The sequence below is a fragment of the Homo sapiens genome, chromosome 6 (genome assembly GCF_000001405.40).
Source record: "Homo sapiens chromosome 6, GRCh38.p14 Primary Assembly".
Taxonomy (NCBI): Eukaryota; Metazoa; Chordata; class Mammalia; order Primates; family Hominidae; genus Homo; species Homo sapiens.
In genome coordinates, this window is record NC_000006.12 from 93,630,529 (window position 1) to 93,648,937 (window position 18,409).

General features: G+C 37.1%; 1 long non-coding RNA gene across 1 annotated transcript in view, besides 2 other annotated features; it reads left to right on the forward strand.

The window, feature by feature from the left end:
- Positions 1-14,633, forward strand: part of LOC105377899 (uncharacterized) — a 198,745-nt gene extending 184,112 nt beyond the window's left edge. The window contains exons 6-7 of the long non-coding RNA XR_001744262.2: positions 13,447-13,716; positions 14,336-14,633. This is a non-coding gene — a long non-coding RNA (uncharacterized LOC105377899). The remainder of the gene's footprint in view (positions 1-13,446; positions 13,717-14,335) is intronic.
- Positions 6,276-6,847: an enhancer, noted in NCBI's record as "NANOG-H3K27ac-H3K4me1 hESC enhancer chr6:94346522-94347093 (GRCh37/hg19 assembly coordinates)". NCBI's record gives its function as "activates a minimal SCP1, AML or CMV promoter by ChIP-STARR-seq in naive H9 embryonic stem cells {active_cell/tissue: H9 hESC(naive)}" and the evidence as "EXISTENCE:reporter gene assay evidence [ECO:0000049][PMID:30033119]".
- Positions 6,848-7,418: an enhancer, noted in NCBI's record as "H3K27ac-H3K4me1 hESC enhancer chr6:94347094-94347664 (GRCh37/hg19 assembly coordinates)". NCBI's record gives its function as "activates a minimal SCP1, AML or CMV promoter by ChIP-STARR-seq in naive H9 embryonic stem cells {active_cell/tissue: H9 hESC(naive)}" and the evidence as "EXISTENCE:reporter gene assay evidence [ECO:0000049][PMID:30033119]".
- Positions 14,634-18,409: the final 3,776 nt, after the last annotated feature.

Genomic DNA, 18,409 nt, shown 5'->3' on the forward strand with positions numbered 1-18,409 from the left:
GGAGATGAATGTGTGGCAATTATGGTGCCATCATGAAAAATGTCTAATTTTCCTTTTGTTTGATAGCTTCCATTCCCATTCTTGTGAAAGGCATGAGAGTAAGGTTCAGAATGAATGAAAAACTCCCCCCTCCCCTGCTCTTTCAATCCTTCTTTGTACTTTTAATTTTAAAAAGCATAAAAATAAATAGAGAAGTTGGAAGAAACTCTATGAACTTTCTTATTCTCTTCACCCATATTCACCAATTCTTAGCTTTTTAACATTAACTGTGTGCATGTGTGTATAAATGTTTTGCACTGAACAATTTTATAGTGAATTGAAGACATTATGAACACTTATTCCTAAATATTACAGTATGTGTATTTCCTAAAATATGATATTATTTTATATACAGTGCAATTATAAAATAAAGGACTTTAATATTGATTAAAGTACTATTATTTATTATACCATTCATATTCAAATGTTGCCAGTTGCCCTCAATAAAGTCTTCCACAAGTTTTATTTTCTAATATAGTCTTCATGTCTCTTTACTCTCATTTCCTCATCTTTTGACATTCATGACATTGGTATTTCTTAAGAATACTAACCAGTGATTTCATTGAATTTAATCTTATTTTTTTATTATTGTTGCCTCATGATTAAATACAAGTGATCATTTTGTTAGGAATACTGTCATTTTTATGTCATTTTCAGTACATCGCATTAGGAGACACACGATGTCAGTTTATCCTATGATTCGGTAATGTTAACTCTGGTAATTTGGTAAAATATTGTTTGCCAGACTTCTCCACTGAAAAGTTTCTATTTTCCTTGTAATTAACCAATTAGTTGTGACATGTTGAGATTGTTAAGTATTATATTTCCCATTAAATATGTTTAGTTTTAGTATCCATTAAGTTTTTTCTGTAATCAGTTATTTCTATGATTGCAAAAGAGATTTTGTAACTATAATTTCTTTTACGTGGTATTTTCCTTGTCATATATTCATTTAGTATCAGCATAGGCAAGTAGGCTTTTTATTTTATTTATTATTATTTTTTTTTAGGTTATTTGTTCTTTTTTTTTTTCTTATTATACTTTAAGTTTTAGGGTACATGTGCACATTGTGCAGGTTAGTTACATATGTATACATGTGCCATGCTGGTGCGCGGCACCCACTAAATCATCATCTAGCATTAGGTATATCTCCCAGTGCTATCCCTCCCCCCTCTCCCCACCCCACCACAGTCCCCAGAGTGTGATATTCCCCTTCCTGTATCCATGTGATCTCATTGTTCAATTCCCACCTATGAGTGAGAATATGCGGTGTTTGGTTTTTTGTTCTTGCGATAGTTTACTAAGAATGATGATTTCCAATTTCATCCATGTCCCTACAAAGGACATGAACTCATCATTTTTTATGACTGCATAGTATTCCATGGTGTATATGTGCCACATTTTCTTAATCCAGTCTATCATTGTTGGACATTTGGGTTGGTTCCAAGTCTTTGCTATTGTGAATAATGCCGCAATAAACATATGTGTGCATGTGTCTTTATAGCAGCATGATTTATAGTCCTTTGGGTATATACCCAGTAATGGGATGGCTGGGTCAAATGGTATTTCTAGTTCTAGATCCCTGAGGAATCACCACATTGACTTCCACAATGGTTGAACTAGTTTACAGTCCCACCAACAGTGTAAACGTGTTCCTATTTCTCCACATCCTCTCCAGCACCTGTTGTTTCCTGACTTTTTAATGATTGCCATTCTAACTGGTGTGAGATGGTATCTCATTGTGGTTTTGATTTGCATTTCTCTGATGGCCAGTGATGACGAGCATTTTTTCATGTGTCTTTTGGCTGCATAAATGTCTTCTTTTGAGAAGTGTCTGTTCATGTCCTTCGCCCACTTTTTGATGGGGTTGTTTTTTTCTTGTAAATTTGTTTGAGTTCATTGTAGATTCTGGATATTAACCCTTAGTCAGATGAGTAGATTGCGAAAATTTTCTCCCATTTTGTAGGTTGCCTGTTCACTCTGATGGTAGTTTCTTTTGCTGTGCAGAAGCTCTTTAGTTTAATTAGATCCCATTTGTCAATTTTGTCTTTTGTTGCCATTGCTTTTGGTGTTTTGGACATGAAGTCCTTGCCCATGCCTATGTCCTGAATGGTAATGCCTAGGTTTTCTTCTAGGGTTTTTATGGTTTTAGGTCTAACGTTGAAGTCTTTAATCCATCTTGAATTGATTTTTGTATAAGGTGTAAGGAAGGGATCCAGTTTCAGCTTTCTACATATGGCTAGCCAGTTTTCCCAGCACCATTTATTAAATAGGGAATCCTTTCCCCATTGCTTGTTTTTCTCAGGTTTGTCAAAGATCAGATAGTTGTAGATATGCGGCGTTATTTCTGAGGGCTCTGTTCTGTTCCATTGATCTGTATCTCTGTTTTGGTACCAGTACCATGCTGTTTTGGTTACTGTAGCCTTGTAGTATAGTTTGAAGTCAGGTAGTGTGATGCCTCCAGCTTTGTTCTTTTGGCTTAGGATTGCCTTGGTGATGCAGGCTCTTTTTTAGTTCCATATGAACTTTAAAGTAGTTTTTTCCAATTCTGTGAAGAAAGTCATTGGTAGCTTGATGGGGATGGCATTGAATCTGTAAATTACCTTGGGCAGTATGGCCATTTTCACGATATTGATTCTTCCTACCCATGAGCATGGAATGTTCTTCCATTTGTTTGTATCCTCTTTTATTTCCTTGAGCAGTGGTTTGTAGTTCTCCTTGAAGAGGTCCTTCACGTCCCTTGTAAGTTGGATTCCTAGGTATTTTATTCTCTTTGAAGCAATTGTGAATGGGAGTTCACTCATGATTTGGCTCTCTGTTTGTCTGTTGTTGGTGTGTAAGAATGCTTGTGATTTTTGTACATTGATTTTGTATCCTGAGACTTTGCTGAATTTGCTTATCAGCTTAAGGAGATTTTGGGCTGAGACAATGGGGTTTTCTAGATATACAATCATGTCATCTGCAAACAGGGACAATTTGACTTCCTCTTTTCCTAATTGAATACCCTTTATTTCCTTCTCCTGCCTAATTGCCCTGGCCAGAACTTCCAACACTATGTTGAATAGGAGTGGTGAGAGAGGGCATCCCTGTCTTGTGCCAGTTTTCACAGGGAATGCTTCCAGTTTTTGCCCATTCAGTATGATATTGGCTGTGGGTTTCTCATAGATAGCTCTTATTATTTTGAAATACGTCCCATCAATACCTAATTTATTGAGAGTTTTTAGCATGAAGGGTTGTTGAATTTTGTCAAAGGCTTTTTCTGCATCTATTGAGATAATCATGTGGTTTTTGTCTTTGGCTCTGTTTATATGCTGGATTACATTTATTGATTTGCGTATATTGAACCAGCCTTGCATCCCAGGGATGAAGCCCACTTGATCATGGTGGATAAGCTTTTTGATGTGCTGCTGGATTCGGTTTGCCAGTATTTTATTGAGGATTTTTGCATCAATGTTCATCAAGGATATTGGTCTAAAATTCTCTTTTTTGGTTGTGTCTCTGCTCGGCTTTGGTATCAGAATGATGCCGGCCTCATAAAATGAGTTAGGGAGGATTCCCTCTTTTTCTATTTATTGGAATAGTTTCAGAAGGAATGGTACCAGTTCCTCCTTGTACCTCTGGTAGAATTCGGTGAATCCATCTGGTCCTGGACTCTTTTTGGTTGGTAAACTATTGATTATTGCCACAATTTCAGCTCCTGTTATTGGTCTATTCAGAGATTCAACTTCTTCCTGGTTTAGTCTTGGGAGAGTGTATGTGTCGAGGAATTTATCCATTTCTTCTAGATTTTCTAGTTTATTTGCGTAGAGGTGTTTGTAGTATTCTCTGATGGTAGTTTGTATTTCTGTGGGATCGGTGGTGATATCCCCTTTATCATTTTTTATTGTGTCTATTTGATTCTTCTCTCTTTTTTTATTAGTCTTGCTAGCAGTCTATCAATTTTGTTGATCCTTTCAAAAAAACCAGCTCCTGGATTCATTAATTTTTTGAAGGGTTTTTTGTGTCTCTATTTCCTTCAGTTCTGCTCTGATTTTAGTTATTTCCTGCCTTCTGCTAGCTTTTGAATGTGTTTGCTCTTGCTTTTCTAGTTCTTTTAATTGTGATGTTAGAGTGCCAATTTTGGATCTTTCCTGCTTTCTCTTGTGGGCATTTAGTTCTATAAATTTCCCTCTACACACTGCTTTGAATGCGTCCCAGAGATTCTGGTATGTTGTGTCTTTGTTCTCATTGGTTTCAAAGAACATCTTTATTTCTGCCTTCATTTTGTTATGTATCTAGTAGTCATTCAGGAGCAGGTTGTTCAGTTTCCATGTAGTTGAGCGGTTTTGAGTGAGATTCTTAATCCTGAGTTCTAGTTTGATTGCACTGTGGTCTGAGAGATAGTTTGTTATAATCTCTGTTCTTTTACATTTGCTGAGGAGAGCTTTACTTCCAAGTATGTGGTCAATTTTGGAATAGGTGTGGTGTGGTGCTGAAAAAAATGTATATTCTGTTGATTTGGGGTGGAGAGTTCTGTAGATGTCTATTAGGTCCGCTTGGTGCAGAGCTGAGTTCAATTCTGGGTATCCTTGTTGACTTTCTGTCTCGTTGATCTGTCTAATGTTGACAGTGGGGTGTTAAAGTCTCCCATTATTAATGTGTGGGAGTCTACATCTATTTGTAGGTCACTCAGGACTTGTTTTATGAATCTCGGTGCTCCTGTATTGGGTGCATATATATTTAGGATAGTTAGCTCTTCTTGTTGAATTGATCCCTTTACCATTATGTAATGGCCTTCTTTGTCTCTTTTGATCTTTGTTGGTTTAAAGTCTGTTTTATCATAGACTAGGATGGCAACCCCTGCCTTTTTTTGTTTTGTATTTGCTTGGTAGATCTTCCTCCATCCTCTTATTTTGAGCCTATGTGTGTCTCTGCACGTGAGATGAGTTTCCTGAATACAGCACACTGATGGGTCTTGACTCTTTATCCAATTTGCCAATCTGTGTCTTTTAATTGGAGCATTTAGTCCATTTACATTTAAAGTTAATATTGTTATGTGTGAATTTGATCCTGTCATTATGATGTTAGCTGGTGATTTTGCTTGTTAGTTGATGCAGTTTCTTCCTAGTCTCGATGGTCTTTACATTTTGGCTTGGTTTTGCAGCGGCTGGTACCGGTTGTTCCTTTCCATGTTTAGCGCTTCCTTCAGGAGCTCTTTTATGGCAGGCCTGGAGGTGACAAAATCTCTCAGCATTTGCTTGTCTGTAAAGTATTTTATTTCTCCTTCACTTATGAAGCTTAGTTTGGCTGGATATGAAATTCTGGTTTGAAAATTCTTTTCTTTAAGAATGTTGAATATTGGCCCCCACTCTCTTCTGGCTTGTAGGGTTTCTGCCGAGAGATCCGCTGTTAGTCTGATGGGCTTCCCTTTGAGGGTAACCCGACCTTTCTCTCTGGCTGCCCTTAACATTTTTTCCTTCATTTCAACTTTGGTGAATCTGACAATTATGTGTCTTGGAGTTGCTCTTCTCGAGGAGTATCTTTGTGGCGTTCTCTGTATTTCCTGAATCTGAACGTTGGCCTGCCTTGCTAGATTGGGGAAGTTCTCCTGGATAATATCCTGCAGAGTGTTTTCCAACTTGGTTCCATTCTCCCCATCACTTTCAGGTACACCAATCAGACGTAGATTTGGTCTTTTCACATAGTCCCATATTTCGTGGAGGCTTTGCTCATTTCTTTTTATTCTTTTTTCTCTAAACTTCCCTTCTCGCTTCATTTCATTCATTTCATCTTCCATCGCTGATACCCTTTCTTCCAGTTGATCGCATCAGCTCCTGAGGCTTCTGCATTCTTCACGTAGTTCTCGAGCCTTGGTTTTCAGCTCCATCAGCTCCTTTAAGCACTTCTCTGTATTGGTTATTCTAGTTACACATTCTTCTAAATTTTTTTCAAAGTTTTCAACTTCTTTGCCTTTGGTTTGAATGTCCTCCCATAGCTCAGAGTAATTTGATCGTCTGAAGCCTTCTTCTCTCAGCTCGTCAAAGTCATTCTCCATCCAGCTTTGTTCCGTTGCTGGTGAGGAACTGCGTTCCTTTGGAGGAGGAGAGGCGCTCTGCGTTTTAGAGTTTCCAGTTTTTCTGTTCTGTTTTTTCCCCAACTTTGTGGTTTTATCTACTTTTGGTCTTTGATGATGGTGATGTACAGATGGGTTTTCAGTGTGGATGTCCTTTCTGTTTGTTAGTTTTCCTTCTAACAGACAGTACCCTCAGCTGCAGGTCTGTTGGAATATCCTGCCGTGTGAGGTGTCAGTGTGCCCCTGCTGGGGGGTGCCTCCCAGTTAGGCTGCTCGGGGGTCAGGGGTCAGGGACCCACTTGAGGAGGCAGTCTGCCCATTCTCAGATCTCCAGCTGCGTGCTGGGAGAACCACTGCTCTCTTCAAAGCTGTCAGACAGGGACATTTAAGTCTGCAGAGGTTACTGCTGTCTTTTTGTTTGTCTGTGCCCTGCCCCCAGAGGTGGAGGCTGCAGAGGCAGGCAGGCCTCCTTGAGCTGTGGTGGGCTCCACCCAGTTCGAGCTTCCCGGCTGCTTTGTTTACCTAAGCAAGCCTGGGCAATGGCGGGCGCCCCTCCCCCAGCCTCGCTGCCGCCCTGCAGCTGGATCTCAGACTGCTGTGCTAGCAATCAGCGAGACTCCGTGGGCGTAGGACCCTCCGAGCCAGTTGCAGGATACAATCTCGTGGTGCACCGTTCCCTAAGCAGTTCGGAAAAGCGTAATATTTGGGTGGGAGTGATCCGATTTTCCAGGTGCGTCCGTCACCCCTCTCATTGACTCGGAAAGGGAACTCCCCAACCCCTTGCGCTTCCCAAGTGAGGCAATGCCTCGCCCCGCTTCGGCTCGCGCACAGTGCGCGCACCCACCGATCTGCGCCCGCCGTCTGGCACTCCCCAGTGAGATGAACCCGGCACCTCAGAGGGAAATGCAGAAATCACCCGTCCTCTGCGTCACTCACGCCGGGAGCTGCAGACTGGAGCCGTTCCCATTCGGCCATCTTGGCTCCTCCCCCCAGGTTATTTCGGCTTTTTATTTTTAATATGAAATTAATTACCATATTTATTTTGATGCTTACATTGATCAAGATTTAGCCATTAGAACCCTCTTTATATTTTTGACATAATCCATTCCCTAATACTAAAGAGCAAATTGAAGATAATGCAATTGAGTGAATGAGTCAGTCCTTTATATTATTCAAGCCATAATCCAATTCATAAGTGAATAAACAGCAACTGTCTTTGTATTGCAAATTGTGTCTCTACGGAGACTTTTAGACGTACCTCTAAAAGTTACTCAAAGACCACCCAACCTTCTCATCAACCACAGGACCTTCCCTATTTGGCCTCTATAATTGTGCAGATATTATTAAAAATTTAGACAATGAAAACTGAACTGCTTTGCTCTTAAGAAAAAGAAGAAAAAGAATTTTGAAGAGAGCTATACTGTCAAAAAGTTAGCTTAATAAAAGCTAACATTGAGACTACATATTTACAAACTTCCTTGTTCTTTCTTTGATCCTATTCTTCTCATAGGAACTTCTTGGTCTACTGAACCCCTTTTCTCAAATCCCTACTAACTGAACTTCACTGGCCTTTTGGGGAAAGTTAAGATCTCCCCCAAATCACTCCTCTAAGACCTGCTCATCCATATACTTCTGCCCTTCCTTCCTTTTGCTACCTTTGATCTTGCAACTAGCTCTCTCGAAATGCTCCCCCTCAAGCTACTACTTTCTCCATTTGATGCAATAAGAGGAAAAATCAGAGTTCTGGAGACAATATAAAAACACCTAAAGGAGACTTCTAGCACTCTTGAAATCCTTAGAGAAACAAAAAAGGTGCACCACTGTTTCCTTTATGTTGTTCTTGTCTTCCTCACAAAGTCACAAGAGTTGCGGTTGGGATCCCCACAAGTTTGAAACTCTGCTTTCTTTTTGCACTGAGCTCCCTGGTCACTTTGACTTTTGGGGATATCAAGGGTTATTTTATACTGTGAGACAACACCTGACATTTGGGTATATGGTTACTGATGAGATACTAGCAACAGCTGCAACTTTAACGGTAACTGGCAATAATTACAGTAAATGGTTATTTGTAGGGGGCAAACTCCAACTTTTATCCTCTTTGCCTCTTTGCATGCTTAGGTAGACACACACACAAAACAAAACAAAACAAAAGCAAATCTCAAGTGTCTGACATTCAGCCAGCCAGTTATTTTGCACAGGCTTCTGAATATTCTTTTAGGCTCGTTTGTATACTTTCTTGTAAAATTCTGTAGTAAATTCTCTTGATTTTATTGTGCCTTAGCAACTGCTGTAGATCTCACTCTGTGTCTTACCTAGCTTACAGACTCCAAACTCCTCTTGAAAGAATTTGCAATCTTTCTCTGTGCCTTCAAGATATAAATTTCCTACCCATCTCTAGAACTCAGTAGGTGGCTTTAGCCATATGAGAGATTAACTTATTTCATTTACAGTGGCACAGTTTAGATCCAACTGTTTAAACTAGTTAGTTTTTGTACCTGTCTCAAGGCTAATGTTTTTGAAAAGCTGAAAGATCTCTGTTTGTTTCTGTTTGTATTTTTGTATGTGCATGTGTACAGGTGTGTTTGGCATGTTGTGTCTACATGGATGTTTGTTTCTTTCATGTGTTTGTATATTGTCCACATGGTACCAAATTCACTTAAGAATAAATGAACATTCATAAATTAAATAAGTACAAATTCTTTTCAAGGTCATGTGACTTTGGTAATCCTTGGTAAATAAGAATAACATTGATTTAATTAAAACAGGCATGTCTGTCAACATTAAATCTAATGCAGATACAGAGCTTTTATCTCTAGAGGATGTTTAAGATCAAACTTATAAAAGCATGAATTTGACCTAAGAAGAAATGAATTAAATATATTAAGTGGGAGTACTTACACATAATTTTTAAATAACAATTATTATTTATAATATGTTTAATTTAAAATTTTCTCAAATTTCTTTGACATCTATACCTTTAGAGATTTGTTAAGTTAACTTACATATATTTATAAAATTTCTAGACAATTTCCAAATAAAATAAAATATCGAAACATCAGTTACAGACCGTGAGGTTTGTTTTTTACTTTCAGTTTCATATTGCAAACAAACATAATATATTTGAATTTATTATGTTTGAATATTATTCAAACAATATATTTGAATCTTTCCTGTTCTACATTTAAAAAATTGAATTTTTTTAAATTATAAAATATGTATTCATAAAATGTGATTATATGACACAATTAAAAACTGCTTACTTCCTAGGATTTCACTAAAAATTAAGGCTACTAAGAGTTAAAATTCTAGTGAATATACATAATTATAATTACTAAAAATAAGGGAAACAATTCTGCATACCAAGTATACAAGAAAAGCAAGATGTGTTTTTGGTGAGGAAACATAAAAAAGGAATAGAAGATATGTATTTTTATTGAGACAAAATAACTTTGTCTAGTCTAAAGTGTATTCAAAGATTGTTTCAGAATAAATAAATGGAGAAAGAAATGTTATAGATAAAAATAAATGGATATAAAAAGTTAGAAAGAGGAAGCAGTGCAAAAAAGAATCTTATCTGGTTAAACTGATTAAAGCTACATGAATTTATTATAAGTTTTAAAAAGTGAACCTTAATAGAAAAAGTACATTGATATAAAACTAGGATTTTCTCTTCTCCTTTACACAGATTTTAATGTAGTATTAATAAAAGATAAAAATATTTTGTTATGTTTTGTGTGAGTATTTTTAAAAAGAAGAGAGAGAGATTCTGTATGCCTCATGATGTTATTAGTGATATTGATTAAATGAATACTATTTTGTAATAACCTGTGACCTATTTTTGATAAAGGATTTTGAACCTTTATTTTTTTACAAATTTTGCAAAATCAGAATTAAGTTATTTTCTTTTTTTTTTTTTTCACCTTGAGCTAAATTTTAGACATTCCAGAAGGGCCCCAGGAAATACAAAAGAGACATATTAAACTACTTGACTTATTTAGTATCTTAAAATTATATAATAATATTGTCAAATAAGAAATTATATTTAACTGAGTTATATTTGTATGAATACGTTATTAATGTGTTCCAAAATTATATGAGATTTCTAGAAATCCGGTATGTCTTGACGTAATACTATCATTTATAATCTTTGGTTATTACAGTTGACCCTTGAACAACATAGAAATTAGGTGTGCCAACCCCTTGCCCAGTCAATATTTCACATAAAACTTTTGACTCCTCAAAAAATAACTACTAATAGCCTACTGTATAACATAAACAGTCAATTCATATTCTGTATATTGCATTTTGACAATAAAATTAGCTAGAAAAAAGGAAATTTTAAGAATATCATAAAAAAGAGAAAACAGATTTTCTATTCATTAAATGAAGTGGATAATCATAAACGTCTTCATCCTCACTGTCTTTATATTGAGTAGGCTGAGGAAAAGGAGGAAGAAGAGGGGTTGGTTTTGCTGTCTCAGGGGTGGGGCCAAGGCAGAAAATGCAGAAGTGGTAGAAGCAAAAGCAAGAGAGGCAGGAACACTTAGTATAACATTATGGAAATACATCATAAATTCTGTCTGACTTTCAAAATTTTCAATTGACCTAAAAAGGTTTCTATATGGTACCAACTTTTATTCTACCATTTGCTTTAGTTTCCATGCCCATATCATAGAAGGGTCCATGGAATAAAAGAAGTCAAAAGCAGTCTTCAATCTAACACACTGCCAGACTGTCTAATGTACATTTCTTTTCTGGCACTGCTTCTTCTATGTCTTCTTCCTTATCATCTAGCATTGGTTTGACAGCACTCATTTTCATTCAATCTTCTATTAATTCCTCTGGCACGGTGTCTATTAGCTCTTGAATTTCTCCAAGATTTATGTCTTAACACCCATCACCCCTCACTTTTTTTTGGCCACAATTTTATTTTTTAATTTATTTTTTATCCACTTTTTTATTTCCTTAATTGGCACTGTCACAAATTATATTATGTCATGCACAACATCTGCACTCAGTTTTCTCCAGAAGGAATTTACTGTTTCAGGCATAATGGATTTCTTGACATTTTCTGTAGCAATGATGGCATCTTCAAAGGTGTAATCCTTCTGGACTTCATGATGTTCTCTCTATCAGATCTCTCTTCCATAGTATTGACAATCCTCTTCATGCAGTACCCTGAGTAATGAGCCTTAATGGTCCTAGTGACCCATGATCTAGAGGCTGAGTTAGACATGTTATGTTGGGTGCAAATATACCACTTTGACACCTTCAGTATTAAACTCCTGGGGTTCCCAGTAGCCCAGGGGCATTGCCCAATATTAAATAAACTTTAAAAGGAAGTCCCTTACTGGCTAAGTATTTCCTGACTTCAGGGCCAAACATTAACAGAACCAATCCAGAAAACAAAATTAAATGTTCTTGCTGTCCTGGCCTTTATGTTGTACAATGAAAAGAGGGACAGCTGATCATTTTCTTCAAGGTTCAGTAGTTAGCAGCTTTATAGATAAGGACAGTCCTGATCATATACCCAACTGCATATACACAAAACAGTAGAATTAGCCTATCCCTTCTTGCATTATATCCTGGTGCTTGTTTCTCTTCCTTAATAAGAAATGTCCTTTTGGCTTTTTTTTTCCTCTTCAGAATATGGCACTTTCATCTGCATTAAACATCTGTTAAGGCAGATATTCTTTCTCCTCAACAACTTTCTTAATAATTTCTGGAACATGTCTGCTGCCTCCTGGTCAGCAGAAGCTGCTTCTTGTGTTAACTTGATATTTCTAAAATTATCAAACCATCCTTTGCTGGCATTAAATTATGTAGCTTTAGATTATTTACCTTCTGTTTGGTTAGGTTGTCATATAATGACTTATTTTAGAGTTTATAAGTATGACTTACTTAGAGGAATCCCGCATCAACATAAAAGCTATGTTTTCAGTATGACATAAAAAGGTATTTCACAAAATAGTCAAAGTTTTTGCATCTGCTGGCATAGCTGCGCCTACAATTTCATGAATTTCTTTTTTTTACAATGATCTCTATGCTGGATTTATTTATCTGGAATTGGCAGGACACCACAGCTACAGACTTCCAACTATTATATACATCAAGCAATTTAAACTTTTTCTTATTATGTCATGACTGTGTTTCTTGGGAACACTTCCTGCATTACTACTGGCACTTTGTTTCAGTCCCATGGTGTTACTTAGGTTTATGTTATTGCACTAAGCAGGATGAAAAATATATAATACCCAGTAGAGATAACTTTTTACTTTGATACACAATTTACTATCAGGATGTACTACTCATCCAAAGATGATTAGCATTACATAGCATTTTAAGCAGATACTCACAACATAAGCTCACTACAATAGCAATAGGAGGTGGTTAAGAAATGCTTACAGTAGTACAGTATGTGCTACAATTAATTTTATGCAGTTATGATTTACTACTTCATCTTTATGTTTCTTTACATTTTTCTCTACTGCAAATAGTGCCATGTATAGTCTGTGCCTGTGTACATAAGCTTTGATAAATTTTAATATTTTATAATTAATTTATATATATTTTATAGTATCTAGATATATTTTCTACATTCATTACTTACATACTTTTTCTTTTTTTTGAAATTTCTAGGCTACACAGTTTGTCTCCAAGTTTTTTTGAAATGGTTGCAAATTTCCAAAAATTTTTCAATATATTTATGGAAAAAATCTGTATATAAGTGAATCCTTGCAGTTGAAACCTCTCTTGTTCAAGGGGCAACTACATATTAAATTGTTTTATGCCATAGAAATAATAATAAACTCCCATCAGATTTTTAATCATGGCCATTTTATGTCTTGCTGTACATAGCACAGTACTTTTTTTATGCTTTTTATGACAGCTCTTTGCAAGCAATTATAATCTTATAATATTGTATCTCAATGAGATATATGAAAAGAATGAGAATAACTGCGACAAGTATAGGTTTCTGATAACTTCGAGAATTTCTAGAACTCTGTTAAAAGAAAAAAAAGACCTGGATTCATAAACTTGCTAATCCAACATCAAGGAGAACAAAAATTAATTATTTGGAAATAAACTGATGAGGCACTATTATTATTATACTTTTTGCTTGAAACATTGTTAATTCTTTTTGTTTGCTAGATTAAAGGAATTTTTTATGTTTGTTTTTAAGCTATCTATAGCTTACAGAAATTTGGTAAAGTATACTTTTTTTGAGCAGCATTGAATCATTCACCTTTTCTCCCTTCCTGATCCCTCTGTAATTCAGAAAATATTCATGAGTGTTGTTAACTTTCTGACAATATACTTACCCACATAAATTCAACAAAAATTTGTTCTAACAGGAGATAGCTGGAAACACAGATTATATTACCAAAACTTTCACTAGAATGTCAATTCTTCAGATATGAACAGACAACTTTAAAAAACTGAGGTTGGATTTATGAAACCAGTAAAAGCCCCTTGAAGAAGCTGAGCTGGTACCTTGAATACAAGTTTCCTGGCCTTGTGGAGATTCAAGAATGTGACTTTCTGACCTGCCTTGGGACCTCAAAATATTTTGTGAGCCTAAAAGAGAGAAGAATTCAGCTAGCTTCTACAAGTAAAGTTTGATGGTAAGACCTTGGCTTGGTTTCCTAGCCTAAAGAGGTTATTTAAAATGTCTATTCTGAGGTCCCTTACTTAAAGTTCCAACAAAGGAAACTTAAAAAGAGCCTATTACAAGTAGTTAGATAGGCATGAGTGGGGCAAGAGAGGGCTCTCCCCCAACCCACTAGGAATGTCGGATGATGGTCCAGCAATTATCGCATTGTCTCTCTAAAAGTGATAAATTGGCAGCTGGTGCCAGGGAAAGGCCATTTTCTGATGGTCCACACCTATTGCACTAAGTGTTAATTGAATGCAAGCACTAGGGAGAAGCAACTTCCCAGGCATGTGCATTAAAAGACAAAATGGCAGAGTGTGACCTTCTGGGGGGCACTCTTCTGGAAAAGGGAAGAAAGCCTCAGATGGGCATGCATACAACTTCCTAAACACACTGCACATGCTCACTTTCCAAGGGTAAGGAGGGTACTGCACATACAGGCAGCCCATCCTAAGGGAAGAATCATGGGAAAGTGGCCAGCCAGCCTGAAGTCCTAGAATCAAAGGTAAACATTGCACTTGACCTCAGTTCCCACTTGGCTCTCTTCCAAGTGTACTTCCTGTTTTAAAGCTTTTTTTTTTTTTTTTGAGGCAGCATTTTGCTTTGGCATCCAGGCTGGAGTGCAGTGGCACGATCTCAGCTCACTCAGCTCAACCTCCGCCTCCCAGGTTCAAGCGATTCTCCTACCTCAGCCTCCCGGGTGAGTGGGATTACAGGCGTCAGCCACCATGCCCAGCTAATTTCTGTATTTTTAGTAGAGATGGGGTTTCACCACTTTGGCCAGGCTGGTCTTGAACTCCTGACCGCAGAGGATCCGCCTGCCTCGGCCTCCCAAAATTCACCAGGCCGGCCTAAAGCCTTTTAAATAAACGTACACTCCTGCTCTGACACTTGCCTTGGTCTCTTTTACTGCCTTATGCTCCTCAGTCAGATTCTTTCTTCTGAGAAGGCAAGAATTGAGGTTGCTGCAGACCCATACAGATTTGCCACCAATAACTTAAATATCTTTGACTGGTAACAAGCCTATATGAACAATCACTATACTTGCTGCAATTTATGCAAAACAAACAAACAAACAAAGAAAGCAGGCCAAGTTAATGAGATTAAACTTACTTTGCAATTCATTGGACTTATTGTGATTATCTGATAAAAATGAGGGGACAGGGGATGGAAAAAAATATGTTTCAGAGGAAAGCCATAGTGTACCTGTTATTAGAGTCTAGCCCTGCCCATTGTTTTCACATTTTTATTATTTACCTACAATCTGAACAGAATCCTGAATTTTTAGTTTCTCCCAATATCTGTCAGTGAGTCTCCAAACTAACATTTTAAATCTTTCTCCCATCCTGTGACTTGGAATCACTAAAAGTTAAAACTCTGCTTTCCTGAAGCTCTACAAGCTAAAAATGGCTGCCTTGATAAATAAGTGTCAGAGATATCATCTTACGTTTAAACTGCAATGCAGGAAAATCTGTTAGATTGCCTTTACATCTTTCTGTTTCAACTTCAAACACAAATCTTGGAATCTTCTCAATTGACTGCCCTCTAAACTCTAGAGAATCTACCTTACAGGCTGCTCCAAACATTAGCCTTTGTTTTATTCTATTTCCATTGAAATGTCTCTTATTAAAGACTTCTTTGCCAGTACCATACAGAGGCTAAAATGAGACACAACTGCTTCACTGGACTGACCTTTTCCCAGGAATGAGAGCCTGGTTTATGAGATCTTTTGCCGCTCAGCTACCAACTTGATTATTCTCTCTGCATAGCCTTCAACTCAACTTTTAGTGTGTAAAACTTCTAGGGAAGTTTCAGACAGGGGAATGTTAGGCCCAATCGAGCAAGACCTCAAAGTATGATGCTCTGGCATGATGAGTACCTTGAATTAAAAGAAATTGGATGGCCTTAGAAGCTGCCTCTAAGAAACATTTTTTTCTGTGCTGCCTGCAAGAGGAGTCTTTTTACTGCATTCTGGTTTAAATGTAAAATGTCATCTTTATAAAAACTTCCAAGGCCAATTAAAAGGCTTTATTGTAAATTATCAAAAAACGAAATAAGATAGGAAACCCACTCAATTCCTTGGGTTACACTTTACATTCCATAAAAAATTATTATAAAAACAATAATAATTACATATTGAATTAGACATGTAGAATTTTCATTTCAGAGTGAAAAGTAGTGAGAACTTGTTCTTTTCTGTAAGAGCATGAACATGATATACATGTTGTAGTTTAATTTATTTTTTAAATTAGGAAACAGGTAAATTTTTACTTAAAGCAATGTAACTTGGAAAAAAGATGGAACACACATGCTGAGGAGTCAATGCAATGTAACAATAAACTACAAATGATGATGCTGGTGATGGCAATAATGATGATGATAATGATAGCTGAAATTTATACCTTACATAGGATTTACCATGTACCATGAACAATTTTAATTAGGTTATGTGTATGTGTGTGTATATATAGATGCAGAACTACTTTGTGAGGTTAGTGCCATTTTTTTTCTTCTTTTTTTTAAAAAAATTATACTTTAGGCCGGGCGCGGTGGCTCACGCCTGTAATCCCAGCACTTTGGGAGGCCGAGATGGGCGGATCACAAGGTCAGGAGATCGAGACCATCCTGGCTAACACGGTGAAACCCCGTCTCTACTAAAAATACAAAAAAAATTAGCCGGGCATGGTGGCGCACGCCTGTAGTCCCAGCTACACGGGAGGCTGAGGCAGGAGAATGGCGTGAACCCGGGAGGCGGAGCTTGCAGTGAGTCGAGATCGCGCCACTGCACTCCAGCCTGGGCGACAGAGCGAAACTCCGTCCCCAAAAAAAAAAAAAAAAAAAATTATACTTTAAATTCTGGGTTACATGTCAGAACGTACAGTTTTTCTGCATAGGTATATACACATGACAGGGTGGTTTGCTGCACCCATCAACCTGTCACCTACATTAAGTATTTCTCCTAAAGCTCTCCCTCCCCTTGCTCCCCACTGCCCAGCCCGACAGGACCTGGTGTGTGATGTTCCCCTCCCTGTGTCCATGTGCTCTCATTGTTCAACTACCACGTATGAGTGAGAACATGTGGTGTTTGGTTTTCTGTTCTTGTGTTAGTTTGCTGAGGATGATAGTTTCCAGCTTCATCCATGTCCCTGCAAAGGGCATGAACTCATCCTTTTTTATGACTGCATAGTATTCCATGGTGTATATGTGTCACATTTTCTTTACCCAGTCTATCACTGATGGGCATTCGGGTTGGTTAGAACTAGAAATACCATTTGACCCAGCAATCCCATTACTGGGTGTATAACCCAAGGATTATAAATCATTCTACTATAAAGACACACGCACATGTTATGTTTATTGCGGCACTATTCGCAATAGGTTAGTACCATTTTTAACCTCATTTTACAGGTGGGGAAAATAAGGCAAACAATGTTTCAGTACCTTGCCCAAGGGCACACCATTAACGAGTACCAACTGTGTTAAAGATCTAGAGGTTTATCTATATGGAGAATTAGAGACAGCTGGAGTAGCCCAAACTGCTTCAGAATTGGTCTTGCACATTAGAGTATGTAAGCACATATGAAACATGTCTTTAAGGAACTGATTATTTTTCATGTAAAAATAGAATTAGAAAAGAGTGGGACAAAGATCAACATGTGAAAAAAATGGAGAAACAATGATTTTTACATGTAATGTAAAAATCTTTGTTCCATAGCTGGGGTCACTCTTTTTATTTGAAAAATTTTAAGGTACAATTGATATAACATGGATTTGGAAGCAGGTGGATTTGGATTTGAAGTTCATCTCTATAGTCTTTTATATTTTTCTACCTTGATAACAAAGGATGAGTTACTATCTTGTCTAAAATTTTGGTTACTCATTAACTGGCTGTTCATATTTCATTGTGAGATGTGAAAGGATTTTCTGTGAAACTTATGCAAAAGCCACTGAGCACATATGGTTAGTTCAAGAAGGTTATTTTGCTACAGTTTTTCTCCTTGAATCATTGACTTCTATCCCACATACATTTCCTAAATGTTAATCTCCCAGCCTTCCACCTCTTTCTTCTCAACCTTAGCAAATCACCTTGCCTCCTACCCACAAAGAAGTATCTATCAGGTGTAAACTTTATCAGTTTTACTTGATCTAGTTGGAAAGACTCATTAAACTAATAAAGATGCAAATGGGTCTTTAATTATAATTATATACTCTTAATATAAAATTCTGAGGATGTGTAACCTGATACTATTTTGAAGATACAACATACCATCTGGATAAGTGATTTTTAAACTGTAGCCCATAGACTAATCAAAATGAACTAAAGTGTCTATTAAAATGAAGACTCCTCTTCCACTCGATAACTTCTGAAATTAGTGATTCTAGGATGGGACTCAGTAGTATATAGTCTTAGCAAGCTTCCCAGGTGTTTCTCATCAATTGAAATTTGAGAGTCACAACATTTTAAGGCCAAAATTATGTATTATTCACTCACCAGGAGACTAATATAATGCCTGCTGCATAGGTAACGCCCAATAATCTTTGAATGGAAAGCCTCGTGGAACAAGTGGAAGCCTTACCCATTTCTGGAAAAAAAGGTATTTTTATTAAAGTACACTCACCTCTGCATGTGTCTGACAGTAGCAGAGCAGACCAGCTTTGCAGTG